General features: G+C 51.5%; 1 protein-coding gene and 1 long non-coding RNA gene across 3 annotated transcripts, besides 2 other annotated features; one reads left to right on the top strand and one right to left on the bottom strand.

Annotated features, from left to right (window-relative positions):
• Positions 1–1,489: 1,489 nt before the first annotated feature.
• LOC105375429 (uncharacterized) lies at positions 1,490–11,355 on the bottom strand. The gene is made up of 3 exons (NR_133946.1): positions 11,226–11,355; positions 8,174–8,248; positions 1,490–1,814 (listed from the first exon to the last, which is right to left on the bottom strand). It is a non-coding gene; the product is annotated as an uncharacterized LOC105375429 (long non-coding RNA).
• Positions 11,356–11,467: 112 nt separating this feature from the next.
• On the top strand, positions 11,468–24,819 carry ACTL6B (actin like 6B). 2 transcript variants are annotated; one of them, NR_134539.2, is made up of 14 exons: positions 11,468–11,586; positions 12,037–12,113; positions 12,330–12,495; positions 12,797–12,897; positions 17,781–17,878; positions 19,093–19,187; positions 19,254–19,360; positions 20,383–20,472; positions 20,632–20,693; positions 20,831–20,945; positions 21,085–21,165; positions 21,270–21,365; positions 21,564–21,667; positions 24,590–24,819. NR_134539.2 is itself a non-coding variant. In NM_016188.5 (14 exons), exons 1-14 carry the CDS (start codon positions 11,562–11,564, stop codon positions 24,668–24,670), a joined length of 1,281 nt encoding a protein of 426 aa, NP_057272.1. In that variant the 5' UTR covers positions 11,468–11,561; the 3' UTR covers positions 24,671–24,819. The 2 variants fall into 2 exon arrangements, 1 of the variants encoding a protein (NP_057272.1); NM_016188.5 differs by having other exon boundaries at positions 21,581–21,667.
• Positions 17,502–18,046: an enhancer, noted in NCBI's record as "H3K27ac-H3K4me1 hESC enhancer chr7:100247493-100248037 (GRCh37/hg19 assembly coordinates)". NCBI's record gives its function as "activates a minimal SCP1, AML or CMV promoter by ChIP-STARR-seq in naive H9 embryonic stem cells {active_cell/tissue: H9 hESC(naive)}" and the evidence as "EXISTENCE:reporter gene assay evidence [ECO:0000049][PMID:30033119]".
• Positions 18,047–18,593: an enhancer, noted in NCBI's record as "H3K27ac-H3K4me1 hESC enhancer chr7:100246946-100247492 (GRCh37/hg19 assembly coordinates)". NCBI's record gives its function as "activates a minimal SCP1, AML or CMV promoter by ChIP-STARR-seq in naive H9 embryonic stem cells {active_cell/tissue: H9 hESC(naive)}" and the evidence as "EXISTENCE:reporter gene assay evidence [ECO:0000049][PMID:30033119]".

The raw sequence follows: 25,451 nt of genomic DNA, 5'->3' as shown, positions 1-25,451 counted from the left end.
ATGACGTCATAAAGAGGTGCAGGGAAAAGACAAGATGGCCTAAGACCAAGCTCTGAGGAACTCCGACATTTAGAGGTCAGGTGGAGAACAAGTTGCCAAAGGAGAAGCCGGCGAACTAAGAAGAAAATCAGGAGGATGCGGACTTCTGGAACCCAAAAGAAAAGAGTGTTCCAAAAAAGGAATGGGAAACTGTGCTGAAGGCTGCAGAGACATGAAGCAAGCCTGCCCTGAGAAGTGTGCAGTGGATTGGGTAGAAGCCACTGTAGCTCTGCCTACGGCATTTGCAATGGGTGAGTGAGAAATGATGCAGTGGAGAAAAACAACGTGGACCAGACTTTGGGTATCTCAGCTTGGCCGGGGACCATGTACAAAGCTGGTGCAGCAGTGAGAAGAGGAAGTGGAATCAAGATAGTCGGGGTTTTTTAGGCCGGGCGCGGTGGCTCATGCCTGTCATCCCAACGTTTTTGGGAGGCTGAGGCAGGAGGATCGCTTGAGGTCAGGAGTTCGAGACCAGCCTGGGCAACATGGTGAAACCTCATCTCTACTAAAAATACAAAAAATTAGCCAGGCATGGTGGCGTGTGCCTGTAATCCCAGCTACTCAGGAGGGAGGCGGGAGAATTGCTGGAACTCAGATTACAGGGAGTCGAGATTGCACCACTGCACTCCAGCCTGGGCGACAAGAGCGAAACTCCATCTAAAAAAAAAAAAAAAGATATGTATATTTTTTAGGCTGGGCGTGGTGGCTCGTGCCTGTCATCCTAGCATTTTGGGAGGCTGAGGCAAGAGGATCGCTTGAGGCCAGCTTGCACAACACAGCAAGATCTCATCTCTACAAAAAAAATTGTAGAAACCCTGTCTCTACAGAAAAATTACATATATATATATATATATTTTTTTTTTTTTCCTTTTGAAACAGAGTCTTGCTCTGTCACTCAGGCTGGAGTGCAGTGGTGCTGCGATCTCGGTTCACTGCAACTTTCACTTCCCAGGTTCAAGCAATTCTCCTGCCTCAGCCTCCCAAGTAGCTGGGATTACAGGCATGTGCCACCACGCCCAACTCATTTTGATATTTTTAGTAGAGACAGGGTTTCACCATGTTGGCCAGGCTGGTCTCAAACTCCGGACCTCAGGTGATCCAGTCGCCTCAGCCTCCCAAAGTGCTTGGATTAGAGGCATGAGCCGCCGCGCCTGGCCGTTATTTGAGTTTTGATGAGAGCTACTGGAGCTAATTTAGATGGTAATGAGGAGGGCAGGAGGAAAGAGAGAGGAAAAAGAAGTTGGCCAGATGCAAGGAAGGACAGAGTTGCCAGGTGATGACCAATGAGTAGCCAACTTATCTGAGCAGGCAGGACCCTCGAGAGCAAGTGGCGGATGTGGCTCTGATGGGTCACAGGGCCTCCTTCCTCTACCTCTTCTGGCTTCTTAGCATCTCCTCCTCCTCAGGGCACTCTGCAAACATTGTTTTTCCCAGAATACTGACTTTGGCCTCCTCTGCTCACTCTCCATGTTATTCATTGGTGACTTCATCCATTACTGTCTCCAGCCCAGATGTCTCTTCCCCGTGTGCCGACTTGGTGTACATCCAATGGCTGACTGAATATCCCCACTTAGATGCCCGTGGACAGTGGCATGCTGGCATCCGCTCATGCCAGGTCACGAGTGCCCATTGTACACCCAGCTCCTTATTCAGTGAAGGCATCTTGGTAGCAGAAACTTGAAGAGCTGGGCGCGGTGGCTCACGCCTGTAATCCCGGCAGTTTAGGAGGCCCAGGTAGGTGGATCACCTGAGGTCAACATGGTGAAACTCCGTCTCTACTAAAAAATACAAAAAAATTAGCTGGGCGTGGTGGCGGGTGTCTGTAATCCCAGCTACTCAAGAGGCTAAGGCAGGAGAACCGCTTGACCCCAAGAGGTGGAGGTTGCAGTAAGCCGAGATAGCGCCATTGCACTCTAGCCTGAGTGACAAGAGCGAAACTCCATCTCAAAAAAAATAAAATAAAATAAAATAAGATAGTAGGAACTTGAACTCAGCCAAGGTGTGACTGTTTACGTCATGGACATTGGCAAATGCTTCCGATCAGGGCTCCCCCTTTTTGAAGAGCTGGTTGTTAGGAATGGTGGCTCACCACCAGGAGTTTGAGACTAGCCTGGGCAACACAGCGAGACCCCATCTTCAAAAAAAAGATTAAAAATTATCCAGGTTTGGTGGCATGCCTGTAGTCCCAGCAACTCAGGAGGCTGAGGTGAGAGGACTGCTTGAGCCCAGAAGTTGGAGGCTGCAGTAAGCTATGATCGCACCACTGCACTCCAGCCTGAGTGACAGAGCAACACCCTGTCTCAAAACAAACAAACAAAAAACCATTTACTACACACCACTGTTCACAGACATTTCACATTCAACATATTCAAAACTAAGTTAATCATCTTCCCCTGAGCCCAACCCTGCCCAACCTTACCCCTTCCCTGAATATCCTGGCCCAGTTGACAGCACCAGCACCCACTCAGATATTTCCCATGCCTTCCCTCCCCATATCCAAAGGATGGTCAGTTAGGGTATAGGCGAAGCGGCTATAACAAAGAATTCCCCAAAATTCAGTGACTTAACCTCAAAATAGATACTCCAGGACTGTGGGGACATCTCTGCCATCTTTTTTTTCCTTTTGTTTTCTTTTTGTTTTTGTTTTTTTTGAGAGGGAGTCTCGCTCTGTCATCCAGGCTGGAGTGCAGTGGTGCGATCTCACCTCACTGCAACCTCCGCCTCCTGGGTTCAAGTGATTCTCCTGTCTCAGCCCCTGAGTAGCTGGGATTACAGGTGTGTGCCACCACACCCGGCTAAGTTTTGTATTTTTAGCAGAGACGGCATTTCACCATGTTGGCCAGACTGGTCTCGAACTCCTGACCTCAAGTCTGCCCACCTCGGGCTCCCAAAGTGCTGGGATTACAGGCATGAGCCACGGCACCCAGCTGGTCTCTGCCATCTTAAACATGTGGCTTCTATCTCTCTGTTCCATGGGGCCTAGGCAGAAATCACCATCATATCTGAATGTGGGAAGGGGGTTAAAGCAGGAAGCACAGGTCCTTTCCTGATTAAGGACACCACTAACCTGCTCAGAAGTTGTCCAGATGCAGCTGGACACAGTGGCTCATGCCTGTAATCCCAGTACTTTGGGAGGCCAGAAGAAGGTTTGCTTGAGGTCAGGAGTTCAAGACCAGCCTGGTTAACATAGCAAGACCCCCATCTCTATTATTTAAATTTCTAATAAAAAATGAATTAAAGTCCGGGCACGGTGGCTCACACCTGTAATCCCAGCACTTTGGGAGGCCGAGGCGGGCGGATCACGAGGTCAGGAGTTCGACACCAGCCCGACCAACATGGTGAAACCCTGTCTCTACTAAAAATAAAAAAAAAAAAATTAACCAGGTGTGGTGGCACACACCTGTAATCCCAGCTACTCAGGAGGCTGAGGCAGGAGAATGGTGTGAACCCGGGAGGTGGAGCTTGCAGTGAGCTGAGATTGCACCACTGCACTCCAGCCTGGGCAACAGAGTGAGACTCCGTCTCAAAATTAATTAATTAATTAATCAATCAATCAATTAATTAATTAAAATAAAAAGTTAGTCAGATGCAAGGAAAGCTGGGACATGTAGTCTCTATCCATGTACACAGCTAAAACATTATTAATAAACAAAGAAGGCAATTTAGGAGGCCGAGGCAGGGGGATTACTTGAGCCCAGGGGTTCGAGACCAGCCTGGGCAACGTAGTGAGACCCTGTCTCTATAAAAAATAAAAAATAATAAAATAGGCTGAGCATGGTGACTCACACCTGTAATCTCAGCACTTTGGGGGCCGAAGGAGAAAGATTGCTTGAGCTCAGGAATTCGAAACCAGCCTGGGCAACATAGTGAGACTTCATGTTTGCTAAAGATAAAAATAAATAAATTAATTAACCAGATGTGGTGGCTCATGCCTGTAGTCCCAGCAACTCAGGAGGCTGAGGTGGGAGGGTCCCTTGAGCCCAGGGGATTGAGGCTGCAGTGAGCTATGATCACACCCCTGCATTCCAGCCTGGGTGACAGAGTGAGACCCTGTCTCAAAAAATAAAAATAATTGATGATAACAATAATAAACAAAGAAGGGCAATGGGAAATGGTATAAGAGTAGCAGTCTATGCCTAGTGGATCCATCATGTCAATGTTATCGCTCTCTCTTTTTTTTTTTTTTTTTGACAGCCTCAACCTCCTGGGCTCAAGTGATCCTCTTGCCTCAGCCTCCTGAGTAGCTAGAACTACAAGCACGCACCACCACGACAGGCTAATTAAAAAAAAATTTTTTTTTCTATAGAGATGGGGTCTCGATATGTTGCCTAGAGTGGTCTCCAACACTGGCCTCAAGTGATCCTCCTGCCTCAGCCTCCCAAAGTGTTGGGATTACAGGCATGAGCCACTGTGCCCAGCCCAATGCTATCTCTTGAATACTGCTTAAATCCATCCCTTCTACGGTGTGCCAATTGCTATTACCTTGATTCCTGCCCATTTCCTGGCCTCTAACTTAGTCCCTTTCTAATCAATCTACCAAATGGCTGCCAGAGGTATCTTTCTAAAATGCCAGTTGGGTCAATAACCCTCCTGTTCAAAATCTTGCAGTAGTTCCCAGGGGTTTCCAGGAGAAGAGTCAACTTCTTTGCATGACACAAAGGCCAGGTCTTGTCCCCTCAACTCAGAAATGCCTTTCACCCCTCCTCCAGCTCCACTTCCTTGTCTGCCAGAAAAACCCAGGCCATTTCCTGGGACTTAGTTTAAATATTGTTTTAAATGTTGTTTGTGCCCCACTGCAATGCTGGCTCCATTCCTGTTGAAGCCTTTACTGGACTGTGTATTTCTGGGCACTTGCCATCCATCCTGGGACCGGGGCTCCCTGTGAAGCCAAGGCACTTGGTTTATCTGACAGAAGGCTGGGTGAAGGCTGGGTACAGTGGCTCAGGCCTGTAATCCCAGCACCTTTCGAGGCTGAGGCAGGTGGATTGCTTGAGGTCAGGAGTTTGAGACCAGCCTGGGCAGCATGGCAAAACCTCATCTCTGCAAAAAATACAAAAATCAGGCCAGGCACGGTGGCTCACACCTATAATCCCAGCACTTTGGGAGGCCAAGGCAGGCGGATCACCTGAGGTCAGGAGTTCGAGACCCGCCTGGGCAACATGGCAAAACCCTGTGTCTACTAAAAATCCAAAAATTTGCCAGGCGTGGTGGTGCGTGCCTGTAGTCCCAGCCACTTGGGAGTGAGACAGAAGAGTCACGTGAACCTGGGAGGCAGTGGTGGCAGTGAGCCAAGATCATGCCATTGCACTCCAGTCTGGGCTTCAGAGCAAGACTCTGTCTCAAGAAAAAAAAAAAACCAGTTGGGTGTAGTGGTGTGTGCCTGTGGTCCCAGCTGCTCGGGAGACTGAAGCAAAAGGATTGCTTGACTCCGGGAGACTGAGGCTGCAATGAGCTGTGATCACGCCACTGCACTCCAGCCTGAGTGACAGAACGAAATCCTGTCTCAAGAAAGAAAACAAGGGCTGGGTGTGGTGGCTCACGCCTGTAATCCAAGCACTTTGGGAAGCCAAGGTGGGTGAATCACTTGAGGTCAGGAGTTCAAGACCAGCCTGGCCAACATGGTGAAACCCTGTCTCTACTAAAAATAAAAAAAAAATTAGCTGGGCGTGGTGGTGCATGCCTGTAATCCCAGCTACTCAGGAGGCTGAGGCAGGAGAATCGCTTGAATCCAAAAGGCGGAGGTTGCAGTAAGCTGATATTGCGCCACTTCACTCCAGCCTGGGCGACAGAGCGAGACTCCTTCTCAAAGGAAAAAAAAAAAAACAGCCAGCTTGGGAAACATAGCAAGACCCTGTTTCTACCAAAAACAAAAAAAAGGCCGGGCGCGGTGGCTCACACCTGTAATCCCAGCACTTTGGGAGGCTGAGGCAGTTGGATCATGAGGTCATGAGTTGAAGACCAGCCTGGTCAAGATGGTAAAACCCCATCTCCACTAAAAATACAAAAACTAACCAGGCGTGGTGGCGGGCGCCTGTAATCCCAGCTACTCGGGAGGCTGAGGCAGACAATTGCTTGAACCCGGGAAGTAAAGGCTGCAGTGAGCCAAGATGGCGCTACTGCACTCCAGCCTGGGTGACAGAGCAAGACTCCATCTCAAAAAAAAAAGGAAAGAAAGAAACAAAAATAAACAAATAAAAACGGTTGTAGGCATGAACCCATTGGTTTTATTTTTATTTTATTTTATTTTATTTTATTTTTAAGAGACAGTGTCTCACTCTGTCACCCAGGCTGCAATGGTGTGATCATAGCTCACTGCAGCCTCGACCTCATCCAGCTGGTCATTAATTACTTCATCTCATCTCCTCCTGACACTGACCTCTGTCAGCGGCTCACATCCAACCCTCCTTCTAGACTGAACTCCTATTTCCACATATTCCAGAAGTTTTCATGTCCTTAGACCTCTGTCCATGCTGTTCTCTTTGTGGGATATCTTTCCCGCTTTCTTCACCTATGAGCTTCTATTCATCCTTCACGGTTTTTGTTTGTTTGTTTGTTTTTGAGACGAAGTTTCACTCTTGTTGCCCAGGCTGGAATGCAATGGCACAATCTCAGCTCACTGCAACCTCTGCCTCCCAGGTTGAAGTGATTCTCCTGCCTCAGCCTCCCAGGTAGCTGGGACTACAGGCGCCCACCACCACGCCCAGCTAACTTTTTGTATTTTTAGTAGAGATGGGGTTTCGCCATATTGGCCAGGCTGGTCCCAAACGCCTGACCTCAGGTGATCCACCCGCCTCAGCCTCCCACAGTGCTGCGATTACAGGCCTGAGCCACTGTGCATGAACTCATCCTTCACAGTTTAGTTCCAACTTCACTTCTAGAAGATTTCCTGGATTCTCAGCGACAGGTAACCCCTCCCTCCTCCGGGCATCTTTTTTTTTTTTTTTTAATTGAGGTGGAGTCTCACTCTGTCACCCAGGCTGGAGTGCAGTGGTGCAATCTAGGCCCACTGCAACCTCCGCCTCCCGGTTATAATCTATTTTCCTGCCTCAGTCTCCTGAGTAGCTGGGATAACAGGCGCATGCCACCACGCCCAGCTAATTTTTTGTATTTTTAATAGAGACGGGGTTTCACCATATTGGTCAGGCTGGCCTTCAACTCCTTACCTCAAATGATCCACTCGCCTCGGCCTCCCAAAGTGCTGGGATTACAGACGTGAGCCACTGCGCCCGGCCCTGGCCTCCTTTTCACCTCTCTTCTGTGCGTATCTGAGCTCCCCACTGCACCAAAGCTCCTTGAGAGCAAGGATATCCCGTATGTCACCCATCTCAGTATCCCTCCTATGTCTAGCATGGTGCCTGCCACACAGTAGGCATCAAAGATGTTTCTTGGCCAGGCACAGGGCTCATGCTTGTAATCCCAGCATTTTGGGAGGCCAAGACAGGAGGATCTCGAGCCCGGGAGTTCGAGGCTGCACTGATCCGTGACCATACCACTGCGCTCCAGCCTGAGCAATAAAGCAAGACCCTGTCTCTTTATTTTATTTTTTGAGACATGGTCTTGCTCTGCTGCCCAGGCTGGAGTGCAGTAGTATGATCATGGCTCACTACAGCCTCAACCTCTCGGGCTCAAGTGATCCTCTCACTTCATCCTCCCAAGTAACTGGGACTACAGGATCACACCACCATGCCTGGCTAATTTTTTAGAAAACTTTTTGTAGAGATGGGTTCTTGATATGTTGCTCAAGCTGGTTTCTAACTCCAAGGTTCAAGCCATCTTCCTGCCTTGGTCTCCCAAAGTGCTGGGTTTATAGGCATGAGCCACCATGTCCAGCACTTGTCTCTTAAAAAGGAAAAAAGGGATATTTGTTGAATCAATGAATGGATAAGTGAAATGTATTAATTGCTTTACCCTAACCACTTCCATAATACACAGAATCTTATGTCAGATCCCATGACAAAAGAAAATTGGTCACAGTTGACTGGGGTTAAATCAAGTTCTGCCCTGTAGTTAGCCAACTGTAGCTTTCCCCCCAGCCATGAGAAGAAAATTCACTGCTTATTACCAAATAGACTGCAGGTTTCCAACTTAATGCATAATAATATTAAGGCCTTAAAACATCCACAGGGACACTTACTGAATAGTCCTGTATGCCCAGCTTTCAGCCAGACACTGACTCCAGAATCAGATGGGGGCCTCATCGCCAGCTGTCCTGTAGATAGAGACAGCACAACTTGGTGAGAAACACAGAGGTGTTAGGAAACAAAGGCATATCTCAACTGGGTGATAAGAGCTGTGGGTTCTAATCCTGGCTCTGATCCCAGCGGACTGTGTGATCCAGGACAGAGCTCAGGTTCTAGCTGGAAAAAAAAAAAAAAAACAAAAAACAAAAAAAACCTGTAGAACTCCTACAGGCACACACCAGCATGCCTGGCCAGACTGGACAAGTTTCCTTTTGTTTTTTTATTCTTTTTAGATGGAGTCTTGCTCTGTCACCCAGGCTGGAGTGCAGTGGTGTGATCTTGGCTCACTGGCTCACTGCAACCTCCCCCTCCTGGGTTCAAGCGATTCTCCTGCCTCAGCCTCCCGAGTAGCTGGGACTACAGGCGTGCACCACCACACCCAGTTAATTTTTTTATTTTTAGTAGAGACAGGATTTCACAATGTTGGCCAGGCTGCTCTTGAATTCCTCACCTCAAGTGTTCCACCTGCCTTGGCCTCATAAAGTGCTGGGATTAAAGGTGTGAGCCACCATTCCCAGCCAAGACTGGGGAAGTTTCTTTTCTTCTTCATTTTTTTTTTTTTTTTTTTTTTGGGGAGATGGGGTCTGTTTGTTGCCCAGGCTGGTCTCAAACTCCTGGCCTCAAGCGATCCTCCCACCTCAGCCTCCCAAAATGCCGGGATTATAGGCGTGAGCCACCACATGCCCTGCCTGGGCAAGTTTCTAAATCTGAGATGGTTGGGGTGGTGGGGAGGAAAGAAGGGATAGTAGGAATTGGCAAGGTGAACTTCAGAGTAAGCGAGGCAACATCATTAAATGCCAACAAAAGGAGAGGGATAAGATGAATATAATCACTTTCCACCCCAACATTCCTTTCATCCTCACCTCAGCATTTTAAACGATAAGAAATGCAAGCACTCGGCTGGGCATGCTGGCTCACGCCTGTAATCCTAGCACTTTGGGAGGCAGAGGTGGGCCGTTCATTTGAGATCAGGAGTTTGAGACCAGCCTGGCCAACATGGTGAAACCCCGTCTCTACTACTACTACTACTACTAATAATAAAACTAGCCAGGAGTGGTGGCACACACCTATAACCCCAGCTACTTGGGAGGCTGAGGCAGAAGAATTGTTTAAACCCAGGAGGCAGATGTTGCAGTGAGTTGAGATTGCGCCATTGCACTCCAGCCTGGGCAACAGAGTGAGACTCCAGCTCAAAAAGAAAAAAAGAAATGTAAGCACTTTAAGAGATCCACTCAATTCTTCCAGACCTCAATGGACTGACCTAGGGTCACTTTGGAAAAATCTCACTCTCCCAGCTCCTGAGTCGGCCCTCTCCCCTACAGCTCACCACTCCTGCTGAAACCTGGACCCTTTCAGTCTTAGAAGCCAAGTCTGAACTTGGAACCAACCCTAGGCATTGAAATGCCACCGTCGTCAGTAGGTAATCCATGAGCCAGCTAAAGCCATCTGTCCTTTGGCCGGGGAGGGGTGGAGTCTCTTCCAGGGTGGGCATGTGGTGAGCAGAGAACCTTCAGGGGCACGCGGACCTCACATAGTATCCACTTCCTGTGCTATCTCTGGTCTCAAAGCTCCCTCGCCCCCAAACAAGTAGATGGGCATAGTCAACACACACAAGCATTCAGATGTGCATATGTACACACATGCACCCATATGCCAACACACATAGACACATACATACAGACACACACACACCCTCACATAAGAGTCCCTCACCTACCCCAAGTTGTCAGAGCTGCTCCTTTGCCTTTGCTACCAAAACTGTGGTACTGGGAGCCCAGAAGAACCTGGGATCCAAGCAGTAGAAAACCCTGTTGTTAGCCAGGCGCTGTGGCTGACACCTGTAATCCCAGTGACTGAGGAAGCCAAAGTGGGAGGATCACTTGAGGCCAGGAGTTCGAGACCAGACTGGGCAACATAGTTTTTTCTTAAAAAAAAAAAAAAAAAAAAAAAAGCCAGGTGTGGTGGTGTGCACCTGTAAGTCCCAGCTACTCAGGAGGCTGAGGCGAGAGGATCACTTGAACCCAGGAGTTCAAGGTTACAGTGAGCTATAAGTGTGCCACTGCACTCCAGCCTGGGTGACGGAAGACCCTAACTCAAAAAGAAAAGAAACAAAAACCCTCTTGTTGATAAATGCCTCCTCAGGAGAACAGGCGCTGAAGAGAGACAGATGGAGAAAGGAAGCTAAAGCCAGATGGGCTGAATGCCTGTGTGTGAACGTATGTACACATGTGTAAGCATGTGTACACATGTATAAGGCCTAGGTACTGCGGGGGGTGGGGGGGAAAGCAAGGCAAGGAAAAAAGGGGCCAACGAAAGACAAAGGAGGGAAGTTGGACACGGTGGCTCATGCTTTTAATCCCAGCACTTTGGGACTTTGAGGCCAGGAGTTCAAGACCAGCCTGGGCAAGGTAGCAAGACCCAGTCTCTTAAAAAAAAAAAAAAGGTAAAAACAGAGAGAGATGGAGACACACCCCCTTTGGTCCCTCTCTCAATCTTCCCTTCCCTCCCTCTCCCGGTGATTCCATTTAGACCTTGGTGATTCCATTTAGGCCTGGGTGTGGCAGAACCGGGCTCAGAGCAGCCTGAAGATAGATAACCCTTCTGGGAACTGGACCTCTCTCCCCAATCCTGCTTTAAAAAGTAAGGGGGTAGAGGTCGGGCGCAGTGGCTCACGCCTGTAATTCTGGCATTTCGAGAGGCTGAGGTGGGAGGATCGCTTGAGGCCAGGACTTCGAGATCAACCTGGGCAAAAGAGCAAGACCCCGTCTCTATAAAAAATTTTTTTTTAATCCAGGCGTGCTGGCACCTGCCTGTAATCCCAGCTACTTGGGAGGCTGAGGAGGATCGCTTGAGCTCAGGAGTTCGAGACCAGCCTGGGCAACATCACAAGACCTCCGTCTCTACCATAAAAATAAAAATAAAAATAAAAAGCAAGGGGATAGGGACCTCATCAGTCGTCCTGCAGAGTCCTGGTCTCCGCCTCTTCCCTGCTCTCCTCTCTGCCGCCAGTTCCTTAGCGACGGTCTCTAAGTCCCTGCTAGGTGCCCCCTGCCCCATCTCCTCCTGGCCGCTTAATAGAGTGTATCTTCCCCTTTAAAGCAGCTGCCCCCGGTCGGTCATTGTCTCGCCTGGCAGCCAATCGGCGGCGCCGTTGGAGCGGGGGATCCGGCCTCCCAATTGGCCGCTGAGAGTCCCGCCCCGCCAGGGATCCCGGGAGCTGTCCGGCCGCCTCGGTGCTGATCCCGCCACCGCCCACGGGCCGCTAGCAGCGCAGCGGGCACTATGAGCGGGGGCGTCTACGGCGGAGGTGAGCGAGCCTCGGGCCCCCGGCTCCCGCAGCCCTGCGTTCCAAACCCGCGCCATCCATCCGAGCTCTGGGCACCCCGGGGCCTGTCACCTCCGCGCACGAGCGGGTCGAGTCTCAGGCTCGGGTCTCCCGCCACCCCTGCGCTCGGTCCTCCCCAGACGCCCCGCGCGCACAGGGCCCTACCTTGCAACCCACCTCCACCTGGCCCCGGGCCCCTTCCTTTCCCGTCGGGAGGGTGCCCTGAGCAAGGCCATTGGGCAAGAAGGGACCCTGGCGGTGTGATGCCCCCACCCCCAGTCCCAGGACCTCGGACTCCAGGCCCAGCTCCCACCGGCCCCAGACTGGTGTTGAAAGTGGCGAGACTGTGGCTCTGCCCTGACTTTCTCTCGGAGCTACCTAGCGGGAGAGAGTTCGGGGGAGGTCCCCTTACAGGCCTGTCTCCCCGCACAGATGAGGTGGGGGCGCTGGTCTTTGACATTGGCTCCTTCTCAGTCCGCGCTGGGTACGCTGGGGAGGACTGTCCCAAGGTGAGCCTTCCAGTCTCCTCTCCAAATCCTAGGGGCTTCGGACCCTTCTTCAGGCTTTCCAGTGACCCAGGGCTCTCCCAGATCGCCCAGAAGCTCTGCTGAGCGGGAATATGGGAATAAACCCAGGGGCGGTCTGAGGACCCTGCTGTGGGGCTGGACAGGGGCAAGAGGGTGACCTCTCTCCCTGCCAATACTCCCCCAACCCTTCCCCACCAGGCTGACTTCCCCACCACAGTGGGGCTGCTGGCCGCGGAGGAGGGGGGCGGGCTGGAGCTGGAGGGGGACAAAGAGAAGAAAGGGAAGATCTTCCACATCGACACCAATGCCCTGCACGTGCCTCGGGATGGAGCGGAGGTCATGTCGCCCCTCAAGAATGGCATGAGTAAGGGGCCCCCACCCATCACCTCCTGACAGAAAAGGAGCCCGCTCCCCACAATCTGGGTCATAGCAGCCCCCACTCCCCGCGGAGTCTTCCTTGCAGCCCCAGGGTTCTTCTGGCTGCCAGGGTTCTTCTCGCTGGGTTCCCTTCCCAGGGGCCCACCAGGTTTCTGGGAAGGGGGGCGTTCCCCTGGAGCTGGACTCACTGACCCTCCTTTGGGCTTGGCCTTTCTCCCTCCTTTTCTTCCTGTCCCTGTCCCCTGCCTGCCTTCTTGCGTCTCTGCACGCTGCTCTTCTGGCCCCAGTCGAGGACTGGGAGTGCTTCCGAGCCATCCTGGATCACACCTACAGCAAACACGTCAAGTCTGAGCCAAACCTGCACCCAGTGCTCATGTCCGAGGCTCCGGTGAGTGCCTCCTCCATCCTCATGTCCAACCCTGATCTCCACTGCACCTCCTTCCCACCATCCACCTCTCCTCCTCTCCCCTCAAGCCACTGCTCTGAGCCACTTCCCTTCCCTTTTCAGACTCCCCTCACCCATCCCAAACAATTTCCTTCCTTCTTGGCTAAGTCTCCATCCCTCCTGCTCTCTTCTTGCTCTATGCACTCTGCTGCCCTTCTCTGTCTCCAAGTCCTTTTTAAATTTTTTTTTTTTGACACAGTCTCACTCCGTCACCCAGGCTGGAGTGCAATGGTGAGATCTCAGCCTCTGCCTCCCGACATCAAAGGAATCTCCTGCCTCAGCCTCCTGAGTATCTGGGATTACAGGCACCCGCCACCACGCCTGGCTAATTTTTTGTATTTTTAGTAGACAGGGGGTTTCGCCTTGTTGGCCAGGCTGGTCTCGAACTCCTGACCTCAGGTGATCCACCCGCCTTGGCCTCCCAAAGTGTTGGGATTACAGGCATGAGGCACCACGCCCAGCCTCCAAGTCCTTTTTTGACCTTTTCACTTATTATTATTATTATTATTATTATTATTATTATTATTATGGTCAACTTTGGTGAGCTGGGGATGTTGGCTCACACCTGTAATCCCAACACTTTGGGAAGCCAAGGCAGGAGGATCACTTGAGCCCAGGAGTTTGAGACCACCCTAGGCAATATGGCAAGACCCGTCTCTTTTATTAAAACAATAAAAATTAAAAATTTTTTGCCGGGTGTGGTGGCTCACGCCTGTAATCCCAGCACTTTGGGAGGCCGAGGCGGGTGGATCACGAGGTCAAGAGATCAAGACCATCCTGGATAACACGGTGAAACCCCATCTCTACTAAAAATACAAAAAATTAGCCAGGCATGGTGGCGGGCACCTGTAGTCCCAGCTACTCGGGAGGCTGAGGCAGGAGAATGGCGTGAACCCGGGAGGCGGAGCTTGCAGTGAGCTGAGATCGCACCACTGCACTCCAGCCTGGGCAACAGAGCGAGACTCTGTCTCAAAAAAAAAAAAAATTTAAAACCTCATTTAAAAAAATGTTCTTACCCACCTCCTTATAAATTCCTCTTTATAAAAGCAACTGTTTTTCTCCTTTTTAGCTAATGTTGGGGGTATTTTCTTCCATATCTCTAATACTACACTTAAATTGCTGCCTGTGGAGTGTTTAGTTTTAGGTATTATCGCTGAATTTTCCACTTTAGAAAATGATCGCTTAGCTCTCTTTTCCTCCCCAGCCTATGCCACACGTATTTCTTATCACCCTCCTTTAAGTACAGTGGGTTTTGTTGTTGTTGTTGTTGTTGTTTGGGGTTTTGTTTGTTGTTTGTTTTTGAGACTTTGCCTCAAAAACAGGGGGTCTGCTCAGTTTGTCACCCAGGTTGGATTGCAGTGGCACAATTCTTCAGCCTTGGTCTCCTGGGCTCAAGTGATCCTCTCATTTCAGTCTCCAGAGTAGCTGGAACTACAGGCATAAGCCACCATGCCCAGCTGATTTTTAAATTTTTTTTAGAGACAGGGTTTCATCATGTTGTCCAGGCTGGTCTTGAATTCCTGGGCTCAAGCAATCTGCCCGCCTCGGCCTCCCAAAAGGCTGGGATTACAGGCGAGATCCACCACACCCAGCCCAGTTGTATTTTAGACTTTAAAAGAAATCAGTATTCAGTATTTACATTCTTTTTAAATTAGAAATAATTTTAAGAGAATCTTTTGCAGAGATGGGGTCTCATCATATTGCCCAGGCTGGCTTCAAACTCCTGTGCTTAAGCGATCCTTCTACTTCAGCTAACAAAGTGCTGGGATTACAGGCATGAGTCACTGTGCTCAGCCCAATATTTACACTCCTATTACTATGTATGCTAATCAGGCCTGAGACAGGCAATACACCATGATCACCTTTCCTTTCTTGTGCAACTTTTTGTTTTCCTAGAACTGGAAAAAAAATGTGTTCAATTTTTTTTTTTTTTTTTTTTTTTTTTTTTTTTTTTTTTTTTTTGAGACGGAGTTTTGCTCTGTCACCAGGCTGGAGTGCAGTGGTGCGATCTCAGCTCACTGCAAGCTCCGCCTCCCGGGTTCAAGTGATTCTCCTGCCTCAGCCTCCTGAGTAGCTGGGACTACAGGTGCGTGCCACCACGCCCAGCTAATTTTTGTATTTTTAGTAGAGACGGGGTTTCACCATGTTGGCCGGGATGGTCTCGATCTCTTGACCTCGTGATCCACCGACCTTGGCCTCCCAAAGTGCTGGGATTACAGGCGTAAGCCACCATCCCAGCCCTGTGTTTGATTATATTTGGTCTGGTTTTCTATCTACTTAACAGTGTGAACCCTAAATCATTCATCAATTGTATCTTTTGTCAAGACGTCAATTCCATTAGATATTTTATCAATTTCTTTTTTTTTTTTTTTTTGAGACATAGTCTTGCTCTGTTGCCCAGGCTGGAGTGCCATGGCGCGATCTCGGCTCACTGCAAGCTCCACCTCCTGGGTTCTCCTGCCTCAGCCTCCCGAGTAGCTGGGACTACAGGTGCCCACCACCACATCCGACTAATTTTTTGTATTTTTTTTTTTTTTTTTGAGATGGAGTCTCACTCTGTTGCCCAGGCTGGAGTGCAGTGGTGCGATCTCGGCTCACTGAAAGCTCCATTTCTCCTGCCTCAGCCTCCCAAGTAGCTGGGACTCACACCATTCTCCTGCCTCGGCCTCCCAAGTAGCTGGGACTATAGGCACCCACCACCACGCCCGGCTAATTTTTTGTATTTTTAGTAGAGGCGGGGTTTCACCGTGTTAGCCAGGATGGTCTCCATCTCCTGACCTCGCGATCCGCCGGCCTCGGCCTCCCAAAGTGCTGGGATTACAGGCGTGAGCCACCACACCTGGCCTCTCATCAATTTCATTTCTTGAAGAAATTTCTTCAGGAGCCCACTGACCTGGTCCAGTTTGCACTAGTAGCCCTCTGCCAGGGGACAGACCTGTCATGCTGGCATCTTCCTTCACCATCATCTTGTAGAATCCTTTTGCCTCTGTCCTGGTTAGAAGTCCTGTTTCCTGTACTTGACTCCTTTTCTTGACTTATTCCTTTGTTTTCATGGAGCAGGTCCTTCAGTAACTGCCTTAGAAAGGTCATGAGAGGCCAGAGACAGTGGCTCACTCCTGTAATCCCAGCACTTTGGGAGGCCTTGAGTCCAGGAGTTTGAGACCAGCCTGGGCAATATACTGATACCTTATCTCTACCAAAAATATAAAAATTAGCTGGCCATGGTGGTGCATGCTTGTAGTACCAGCTACTCGGAAGGCTGAGGCAAGAGAATTGCTTGTACCCAGGAGGCAGAGATTGCAGTCAGCCTAGATCATGCCACTGAACTCCAGCCTGGGCGACAGAGTGAGACTCCATTTAAAAAAATAATTAATTAAATAATAATCTAAAAAAAAACTTTTTTTTTTTTTTGAGATGAAGTGTCACTCTTGTCCCCCAGGCTGGAGTGCAATGGCGTGATCTTGGCTCACTGCAACCTCCGCTTCCCGGGTTCAAGGATTCTCCTGCCTCAGCATCCCAAGTAGCTGGGATTACAGGCACCTCCCATCACACCTGGCTAATTTTTGTATTTTTAGTAGAGACGGGGTTTCACCATGTTGGCCAGGCTGGTCTCAAACTCCTGACCTCAGGTGATCTGCCCGCCTTGGCCTCCCAAAGCGCTGGGATTACAGGCATGAGCCACCGCGCCCAGCATCTAAAAAAAAAATTTAAAATAAGGTCATGGGAAGTATATTTTTTGAGACTTTTGTGTGTCTCACCTTGAGTTGATAGCTTAGCTAGGTATCCCATGCCAGGTTAGAAATCATTATTCTTCAGAATCTTGAAGGCACTTTTCCATTGTCCTTCTTCCAGCATATATCGTTGCCATTTAGAAGGATGAAACCATCTGATTTCTGATCCTCTGATGTAATGTTTTTCTTTCTGAAAGTTTATAGAATTTTTACTTTATCCTCAGTGTGGTGTATTTTCATTCATGGCTCTAGGCACTTAGTATGTCTCTTCATTCTGAAAACATATGTCTTTCAATTCAGTGAAAAAGAATTATTTATTTAATTATTTATTTCTCTCCATTTTCTCTCTTGGGATTTTCTGTTATTGGATTTTGTTGCCCCCTGAATTGGTCCCCTAATTTAATTCCCTTTTCTCTTATATTTTCCATCTCTTTACCTTTTTCCTTTGGTTTCCAAGATATTCCCTCCACTTTATGTTCCAATCCTTCTATTGAGTTTTTCATTTCTGTTCATGTAGTTTTAATTCCCACAAGCTCCTTACTTTAAATTTTTTTTTTAATGAGACAGCATCTCACTATGTTGTCCAGGCTAGTTTCGAACTCCTGGGTTCAAGCAATCCTCCTGCCTCGGCCTCCCAAAGTGCTGGGATTATAGGCGTAAGCCACCCTGTCTGGCCTGTGCAAATGTTTTAAATGCATGTGTGTGTGACTGTGAGTGTGAATATATGTGTATGTGTGTGTGTGAGTTTGTGTGTGAATGTGAGTATATATGTGTTTGACCGTGTGTTTGTGAGTGTGTTTGCATGTGTGACCGTGAGTGTATGTATAGTGTGAATGCATGTGTGTGTTTATGTGTGTCTGTGAATGTGAGTGTATGTGTGTGTGTTTGAGTGTATGTGTGTGTGTGTGCAAGTGAATGCATGTGTGTATGACCGTGAGTGTATGTGTGAGTGTTTAGGTTGTGTATGTGTGTGCAAGTGTTTGGATGTGTGTGTGTGACCGTGAGTGTATGTGTGAGTGAGTGGGTTGCGTGTGCGTGGATGTGGGTCTGTGCCTCTCCCTTCCTGAATCCTCCCCCTCTGCACTTTCTCCACAGTGGAACACACGGGCCAAGCGGGAGAAGCTGACAGAGCTGATGTTCGAGCAGTACAACATTCCTGCCTTCTTCTTATGCAAGACGGCTGTGCTCACCGCGTATCCTCTGGACTGAGCTGCTCTGACTGGGTGGAGGGCTGGGGTGGGGCCTGTGCTGAGCTCAGCTGTGATGAGCTGGAGGGTCAGGCCTGGTTCTCTGAAGATCAGTGTCCCAATGGGCAGACACCTCCCTCTGCCCCACTAGTGCAGAAGGCCCAGTGGACTGAGCACCTCCGACTCTGGGGTGGCCAGATCAGCGGCCCCTTTCGGTTCCCCGGATCAGGCTGAGCAGACAGTGAGCTGGGCCCGGGAGAGAGTAGGGGCTGGAACTGGACAGAGGAGGGAGACGTGTAGAACACTGCGGCAGTCCCTTCCCAAGAACTCCTTCAACACTGACTGTTTTTAGGATCTGCCTTGCATTGAACCCTGTGCTATGCACTGGGGTGATAGCGACCCTAATTTCAGGGAATCTGTAGGACACAACCAAAAATAAAGGGGCTGGCCAGGCGCGGTGGCTCACGCCTGTAATCCCAGCATTTTGGGAGGCCAAGGCGGGCAGATCACTTGAGGTCAGGAGTTAGAGACCAGTCCGGCCAACATGGCAAAAGCCCGTGTCTACTAAAAATGGAAAAATTAGCCAGGCATAGTGGTGGGCACCTGTAGTCCCAGCTACTTGGGAGGCTGAGGCAGGAGAATCTCTTGAACCCAGGAGGCAGAGGTTGCAGTGAGCTATTGCATTCCAGCCTGGGCGACAAAACGAAACTCAGTTTCAAAAAAAAAAAAATAACTAAAGAAGTAACTGGGGTCGCCGGGTGTGGTGGCTCATGCCTGTAATCCCGGCACTTTGGGAGGCCGAGGCGGGCAGATCACGAGGTCAGGAGATCGAGACCATCCTGGCTAACACGGTGAAATCCCATCTCTACTAAAAATACGAAAAATTGGCCGGGCGTGGTGGCAGGCACCTGTAGTCCCAGCTACTCGGGAGGCTGAGGCAGGAGAATGGCATGAACCCGGGAGGCGGAGCTTGCAGTGAGCTGAGATTGCGCCACTGCACTCCAGCCTGGGAGACAGCAAGACTCCATCTCAAAAAAAAAAAAAAAGAAGTAACTGGGGTCTCAGAGCCTTTCTCCAGGAGATGAGTCATCACCAGGGGGAGAGATTTGCAGACTGGGGATGGGCTGGACCCCGGTAGAGCAGAGAGTGACCAGACAAGATCTGGGCCCAGGCCCCTCACTTGCTGCTGCTGTCTCTTTGACTTACCCATCCGATGCCAGCTTTGCAAACGGGCGGTCCACTGGCCTCGTGCTGGACAGTGGAGCCACCCACACCACGGCCATTCCAGTACATGACGGCTACGTTCTGCAGCAAGGTGGGGCTTCGGCAGGGGGTGGGGGTGCTCCAGGAGGACCAGGTCCTGACAGTGCCTTCCTTCTAGGCATCGTCAAGTCCCCTCTGGCAGGGGACTTCATCTCCATGCAGTGCCGGGAGCTGTTCCAGGAGATGGCCATTGACATCATCCCACCTTACATGATCGCAGCCAAGGTGGGGCCTCTGGGGACATGGAGCTGCCACTAGAGTCCTGGCCACTCGCCCCATGGCCGTCAACCCTCTGACACATGAGATATCAGAGCAGAGAGCAGCAGGCTCCCCAGTGGGTCCTGGCTCCAGTTCCTCCTTTTATAATCGAGGCATCCGAAATCCAGACAGGCTGAGGGATATGCTGAGGTCATGAAACCAGCTGGCAGACAGCAGGATGTGTGAGGGCCAGTGTGGTGGGTTCTAGGGTCCAATATAGACCCAGGTTCAAGTTCTGCCTCTGCCGTGCAAGAGCTGCAGGACCGGTCAGGCATGGTGGCTCACACCTGTAATCCCAGCACTTCGGGAGGCTGAGGCAGGCAGATCGCTTTGAGCTCACTTCGAGACCAGCCTGGGCAACATGGTGAAGCCACGTCTCTACTAAAACTGCAAGAACTAGCCAAGCATGGTGGTGCATGCCTGTAGTCCCAGCTACTTGGGAGGCTGAGACTGGAGAATCACCTGAACCCCGGAGGCAGAGGTTGCAGTGAGCCGAGATCGCGCCACTGCACTCCAGCCTGGGCGACCGAGTGAGACTCCATCTGAAAAAAAAAAAAAAAAAGAGCTGTGTGACCAACAGCATGATATCAAAGCTCCCTGGGCCTCAGGTTTGTCTTATGTAAAGTGGAACGGCAGTAGGCAGTAGCCAGGGTGCTGTGAGTATGAAGTGACACTGTGTGCTTAGCTCCATTCCGTGCCCTCACATGGATCATGACCCCCTAGGAGGCCATTCCCTTGAGGTTCTGTCACTGCTGTATTCCTGGTGTTCTCCAGATCAGCTGCACCCACCGCATGAAAGGCACACATGGAGAGAGAGGCATGCCCCATTCTCTCTCCTCTCCATCAGGGAAGGGTGAGAAACCCCTCTTGCAGGCAGCACAGCAGAGCCTGCAGCGCCAGGTAGCTGCAGAGCTGGGAACAGTGCCAGGAAGGTGGGGGTGGGGGTCAGGTGGGCTAGGAAAGGGTGTTCCTACACTGTGCCCCCACAGGAGCCTGTCCGGGAGGGTGCCCCCCCAAACTGGAAGAAGAAGGAGAAGCTACCCCAGGTCTCCAAGTCCTGGCATAACTACATGTGTAATGTGAGCCTCTGGAGAGGGCCACCTGAAACCCCCCTCCCCTGCCATGAATCGGGGGCGGGACAGAGGCCCCGCATGGGAGGGGGAGCAGGGAGGGGGAGCGGGGCAGGGGGTGCTGCTCACGGGGAAGGCAGGCCCTCACCACCTCCGCTGGGATTTCAGGAGGTGATCCAGGACTTCCAGGCCTCCGTGCTGCAGGTCTCAGACTCCCCCTACGATGAACAGTGAGTGTGGCTCAGGGCTTTGGGGTGGGAGAGAGGGCAGAACCGGCACTCTTGGGGTGGGCTGGGGGGCTCTGGTGCTGCCCACGCACTGATCCTTCTTGAGCACCCCAGGCAGAGTCCTGCTCCCTTCTGGGTAGGGTGGCTGCACAAATGCCCACAGTGCACTACGAGATGCCCAATGGCTACAATACAGACTACGGCGCCGAGCGACTCCGCATCCCTGAGGGCCTGTTTGATCCCTCGAACGTCAAGGTTTGGCTGTGTGGCGAGGACTGGGGTGGGTGCTGGCTGCAGTCCCTGGATCCTGGGGCGTGGGGGAGGCTGGGAAGGATTGCAGGGGTCTGGGGGGAAGGGGGAGAGAGCCCACAGCCCCAGTCACCTCTCTCTGCAGGGCCTGTCGGGGAACACCATGTTGGGTGTGGGCCACGTGGTGACCACCAGCATCGGCATGTGTGACATTGATATTCGCCCGGTGAGGCCAGGCCGGAGCTGAGGCTCGGCAAAGGGGCCCAGGGGAAGTGGGGAGACGGGGTTGGGGGGCTGCCCCCGCAGCTCACTCCTTCTCCCTGCTCTCAGGGCCTGTACGGGAGTGTCATTGTCACCGGCGGGAACACACTGCTGCAGGGCTTCACTGACAGGCTCAATCGAGAGCTTTCCCAGAAGACCCCACCGGTAGGAGCCCACCCCTGACCCAGAGCCCTGGACACCCGTCCTGGCTCAGCTGTCCAGGACTGAGTCCCTTCATCCTTCCCATGTCCTTCCTTCTGTTCTGGCCACCAGAGCAGAACCCCTGCCCCTGTGGCTTCCCAAGTCTTCCCCTCTCCCCCAAGCCCTGTCCCTTCCCAGAACCTAGGTGTCTGCTTCCCCCAGCCCCTTTTTACCCCCAGAGCATGCGACTGAAACTCATTGCCAGCAACAGCACCATGGAGCGCAAGTTCAGCCCCTGGATCGGGGGTTCCATCCTGGCCTCACTGGTGAGAGGAAAGGGACCTGGCCTAGCACTGACTGTGGGGGAGAGGGGAGACCCAGACAGTGCCCGCCACTTTGACTGCCTCTTCGTTCATTCATTCATTCAACAAACATTTAGTTTTGAGAAATGTCAGTCAATGAATGTTCCCAGAAGGGTGAACAGGACACAAATCGGGGGGCAGGGGCCCGGTATGGTGGCCCACACCTGTCATCCCAGCACTTTGGGTGGCTGAAGTGGGGGGATGGCTTGAGGCTAGGAGTTGAAAACCCAGCAGGGGAACATAGCAAGACCCATCTCTACTTTTACAAACTGGGGAGAAGAGGCTGCGCACAGTGGCTCATGCCGGTAATCCCTGCAGTTTGGGAGGCCGAGACGGGTGGATCACTTGAGCTCAGGAGTTCGAGACCAGCCTGGCCAACATGACGAAACCTTGTCTCTACTAAAAATCCAAAAATTAGCCAGGCATGGTGGTGCATGCCTGTAATCCCAGCTATTCAGGAGGCTGAGGCAGGAGAATCTCTTGAACCCAGGAGACGGAGACTGCAGTGAGCTGAGATCGTGCCACTGCACTCCAGCCTGGGTGACGCAGTAAGACTCTCAAAAAAAAAAAAAAATTGGGAGTAGAGGGACAGGTAGTTGGAGAGATTGGTCAGGATGAGATTTTGGTGATACACCCACTGTGCTCAGTCAGCAGAGGGGAGACCCTGATGTTTTGGGGCAAGGGAGTGATGTGGCAATGCAGGCATGATTGGAAAGACTGCCAGGCATGAGTCTTTGGGGTCGGGGTATGAGCTGGGGTCAAGGGGACCTTACAAGGAGGCTGTTTTGATTGTCCCGGAGTCATAGCATGGGTAGCAGTGGGGATGGGGTGGACAGCAAGGGGCAACTAGTAAAGGAGGCAGGCAGGTTGGTTCTGGGGCAGGAGGTGGTAAGTTCAGTCTGGACCTGCTGCTGGGTTCGAAGGAAGGTACTGAGCAGGGAGCTGGAGTTGCAACCCGCATCTGGAGGGTATCAGTCACACAGAGGGGACAGTGGGGCCATGACAGACAAGGAGGACATCCACGAGAAAGGAAGTCCCCCAGGGAGACAGAAACCAGGGTCAGAAAGACAGAGGCTGGCAGTCTGAACTTAGCTCAGGGCTGAAGCATGTCAGCCACACAGTTCTTGTTTTTTTCCTTTTTTTGTTTTTGTTTTTGTTTTCGAGACAGTCTCACTGTCGCCCAGGCTGGAGTGCAGTGGAGCAATCTTGGCTCACTGCAACCTCCATCTCCTGGGTTCAAGCGATTCTTCTGCCTCAGCCTCCCGAGTAGCTGGGATTACATGCGTGAGCCACCACGCCTGGCTAATTTTTGGATTGTTAATAGAGATGGGGTTTCACCGTGTTGGCTAAGCTTGTCTCAAACTCCTGACCTCAAGTGATCTGCCCATCTTGGCCTCCCAAAGTGCTGGGATTACAGGTGTGAGCCACCATGCCCGGCCTGAAATTAAGTATTAATAATATATCCTGGACAAGTGGAGTGGCTCACACCTGTAATCCCAGCACTTTGAGAGGCCAAGGCGGGAGGATCATTTGAGCCCAAAATTTCTAGACCAGCCTGGGCAACAAAGCGAGACCTCATCTCTACAAAAAATTTAAAAAGCAACTGGCAATGTGGCGCATACCTGTAGTCCCACCTACTTGGGAGGCCAAGGTTGGAGGATCACTGGAACCTGGAAGGTTGAGGCTGCAGTGAGCTGTGCCACTGCATTCCAACCTGGGTGACAGAGCAAGATCCTGTCTCAAAAAAAACCCAAAAAAATTGGGTGTGTATTTTCCACTTAGAGCACGTCTCAATTTGGACCAGGGCTGGTGAGCTACAGGAAGCTAGTGGCCACTGCATTGGACAGCACATGTGTGTAGGCTGAGAAAGATCAAAGAAGCCCAGCCGTGGTAGCTCACGCCTGTAATCCCAACATTATGGGAGGCTGAGGTGGAACGATTACTTGAGCCCAGGAGTTTGAGACCAGGCTGGGCAACATAGTGAGACACCATCTCTACAAAAAATAAAAATTAGGCTGGGCGCGGTGGCTCACGCTTGTAATCCCAGCACTTTGGGAGGCCGAGGCGGGCGGATCATCTGAGGTCAGGAGTTTGAGACCAGCTTGGCCAACATGGCGAAACCCTGTCTCTACTAAAAATACAAAAATTAGCCGGGCGTGTTGGCACGCGCCTGTAATCCCAGCTACCCAGCAGGCTGAAGCAGGAGAATCGCTGGAACCTGGGAGGCGGAGGCTGCAGTGAGCCAAGATCGCACCACTGCATTCCAGCCTGGGCGACAGAGCAAGACTCCATCTCAAAAAAATAAAATAAAAATAAAAATAATTAAAATTAAAATTTTAAAAAAATAGAGAGAAGGGACACTCTGAGATGCTCATTGCAGGAACCCTCAAGGGGCAAGTTGTAATGCCGAAGGCTGCAGATGGGGTGCCACAGTGTTGGAATGGTGAGGTGGAGGGAATATCTTCCTTGGGAAAGAGGGAGACTGGCGGTGTTCCAAAGCCCTGATGGAGTGAGAAGAGGACACCTGGTGGGGAAGGACTGTGTGTGTGTAGGGGGTGTTGAGTGCCAGGTGCAGGTTGCCTGGCCTGGGGCTGTGCGTGCCATCCCCCCAGCTCAGGAACAGGGCCTAGCTCAGGGCAGAGACTGCTGTTCAATAATACTTGTTGAATGAATGAATTATTGATTGAATGATATGAAGAGGATACTCTCCCTCTGAATATGAAAGGGGACAGACCGAGGAGGGGAGGATGAGGTGGGGAGGGGCTTCAGAGGGATGTGAACCCAAGGGGTGGTTGGGGCCTGTTGGAGGATTCCCAGGGGCTGCACCTGCCTGTCCACACCTCCCTCCAAGGCCACCCTGACCCTGATATTACCCCCTCCACCCAGGGCACTTTCCAGCAGATGTGGATCTCCAAGCAGGAATATGAGGAGGGCGGGAAGCAGTGCGTGGAGCGAAAGTGCCCCTGATGGCACTCCTCCCCACACACCTGCTCCCAAGCTCAGATGGAAGTCCCTTAACCCCCATGCCACATTGCCCCCCTCCTCCTTTCCCTCTTGTCCTCATTAATGGTGATGTTTCTGGGTTGAAAGAAGTAAAAATGTTTTAAGAAAAAAAAGTTTGGCCTCCGTGGGGTGGGGAGTGGGCACAGGGGTCTGGAGGGAGGTGAGGGGAGGGAGTCTCACTTCTACACCCATGCCGATCCCACAGTGGGTGCTGGGACACAGCCCCAGGGGCCATGGATTCCTCAGGTTTCCTAGGGGTTGTGACCCAGGGAGGGCCACATGACGAGGACCGGGGGTTGGGGGAGTTGCTGGGGGCTAACAGTTGTGGTGGGAGGTGGGAGGGGCTGCAGGGTGCAGTGGAGGGGCACGGCCTGGGGTGAGTGTGGCAGGAGGTGGGTGGAGCAGGAGGTGAAGCCTGGATGGGCGGAACAGGAGGTGGGGCCTGGTGGGCGGGGCCTCAGCGTAGGCCTTAGGTCTCAGGGGAGCAGCACGCCTGAGCACCCCAGGACCTGCGCTCAGGTGAGATGCGCTATGCCTTCCTTCCTGGGGCTCTTGGTGGTGACAGACATGGGGCGGGGACTAGGGCGCTGGTGCATCCCAGCAGCTCGGAACTTCTCTGGACCTGAGTAGGAGCTGATGTTTCCCAGGGGAAACCCGAAAGGGAAACTTGGTGGGACCCTGAGCCCTCCTCTTCAGAGCTACTTGTCTTGGGGCCCTCGGAAGGGTTTGGGGACCTGCGCCCCCT

This window comes from Homo sapiens, chromosome 7 (assembly GCF_000001405.40).
Source record: "Homo sapiens chromosome 7, GRCh38.p14 Primary Assembly".
Lineage (NCBI taxonomy): Eukaryota > Metazoa > Chordata > Mammalia > Primates > Hominidae > Homo > Homo sapiens.
This window is presented reverse-complemented; position numbering and strand designations above follow the sequence as displayed.

Bases quoted from the DNA above. Each gene is read 5' to 3' on its own strand.
- ACTL6B (NM_016188.5), top strand. From the start codon at position 11,562: ATGAGCGGGGGCGTCTACGGCGGAG. The intron at 20,473-20,631 runs GTGAGCCTCTGG...CTGGGATTTCAG, and splicing joins GGCATAACTACATGTGTAAT to GAGGTGATCCAGGACTTCCA. The intron at 21,668-24,589 runs GTGAGAGGAAAG...CCCTCCACCCAG, and splicing joins GTTCCATCCTGGCCTCACTG to GGCACTTTCCAGCAGATGTG.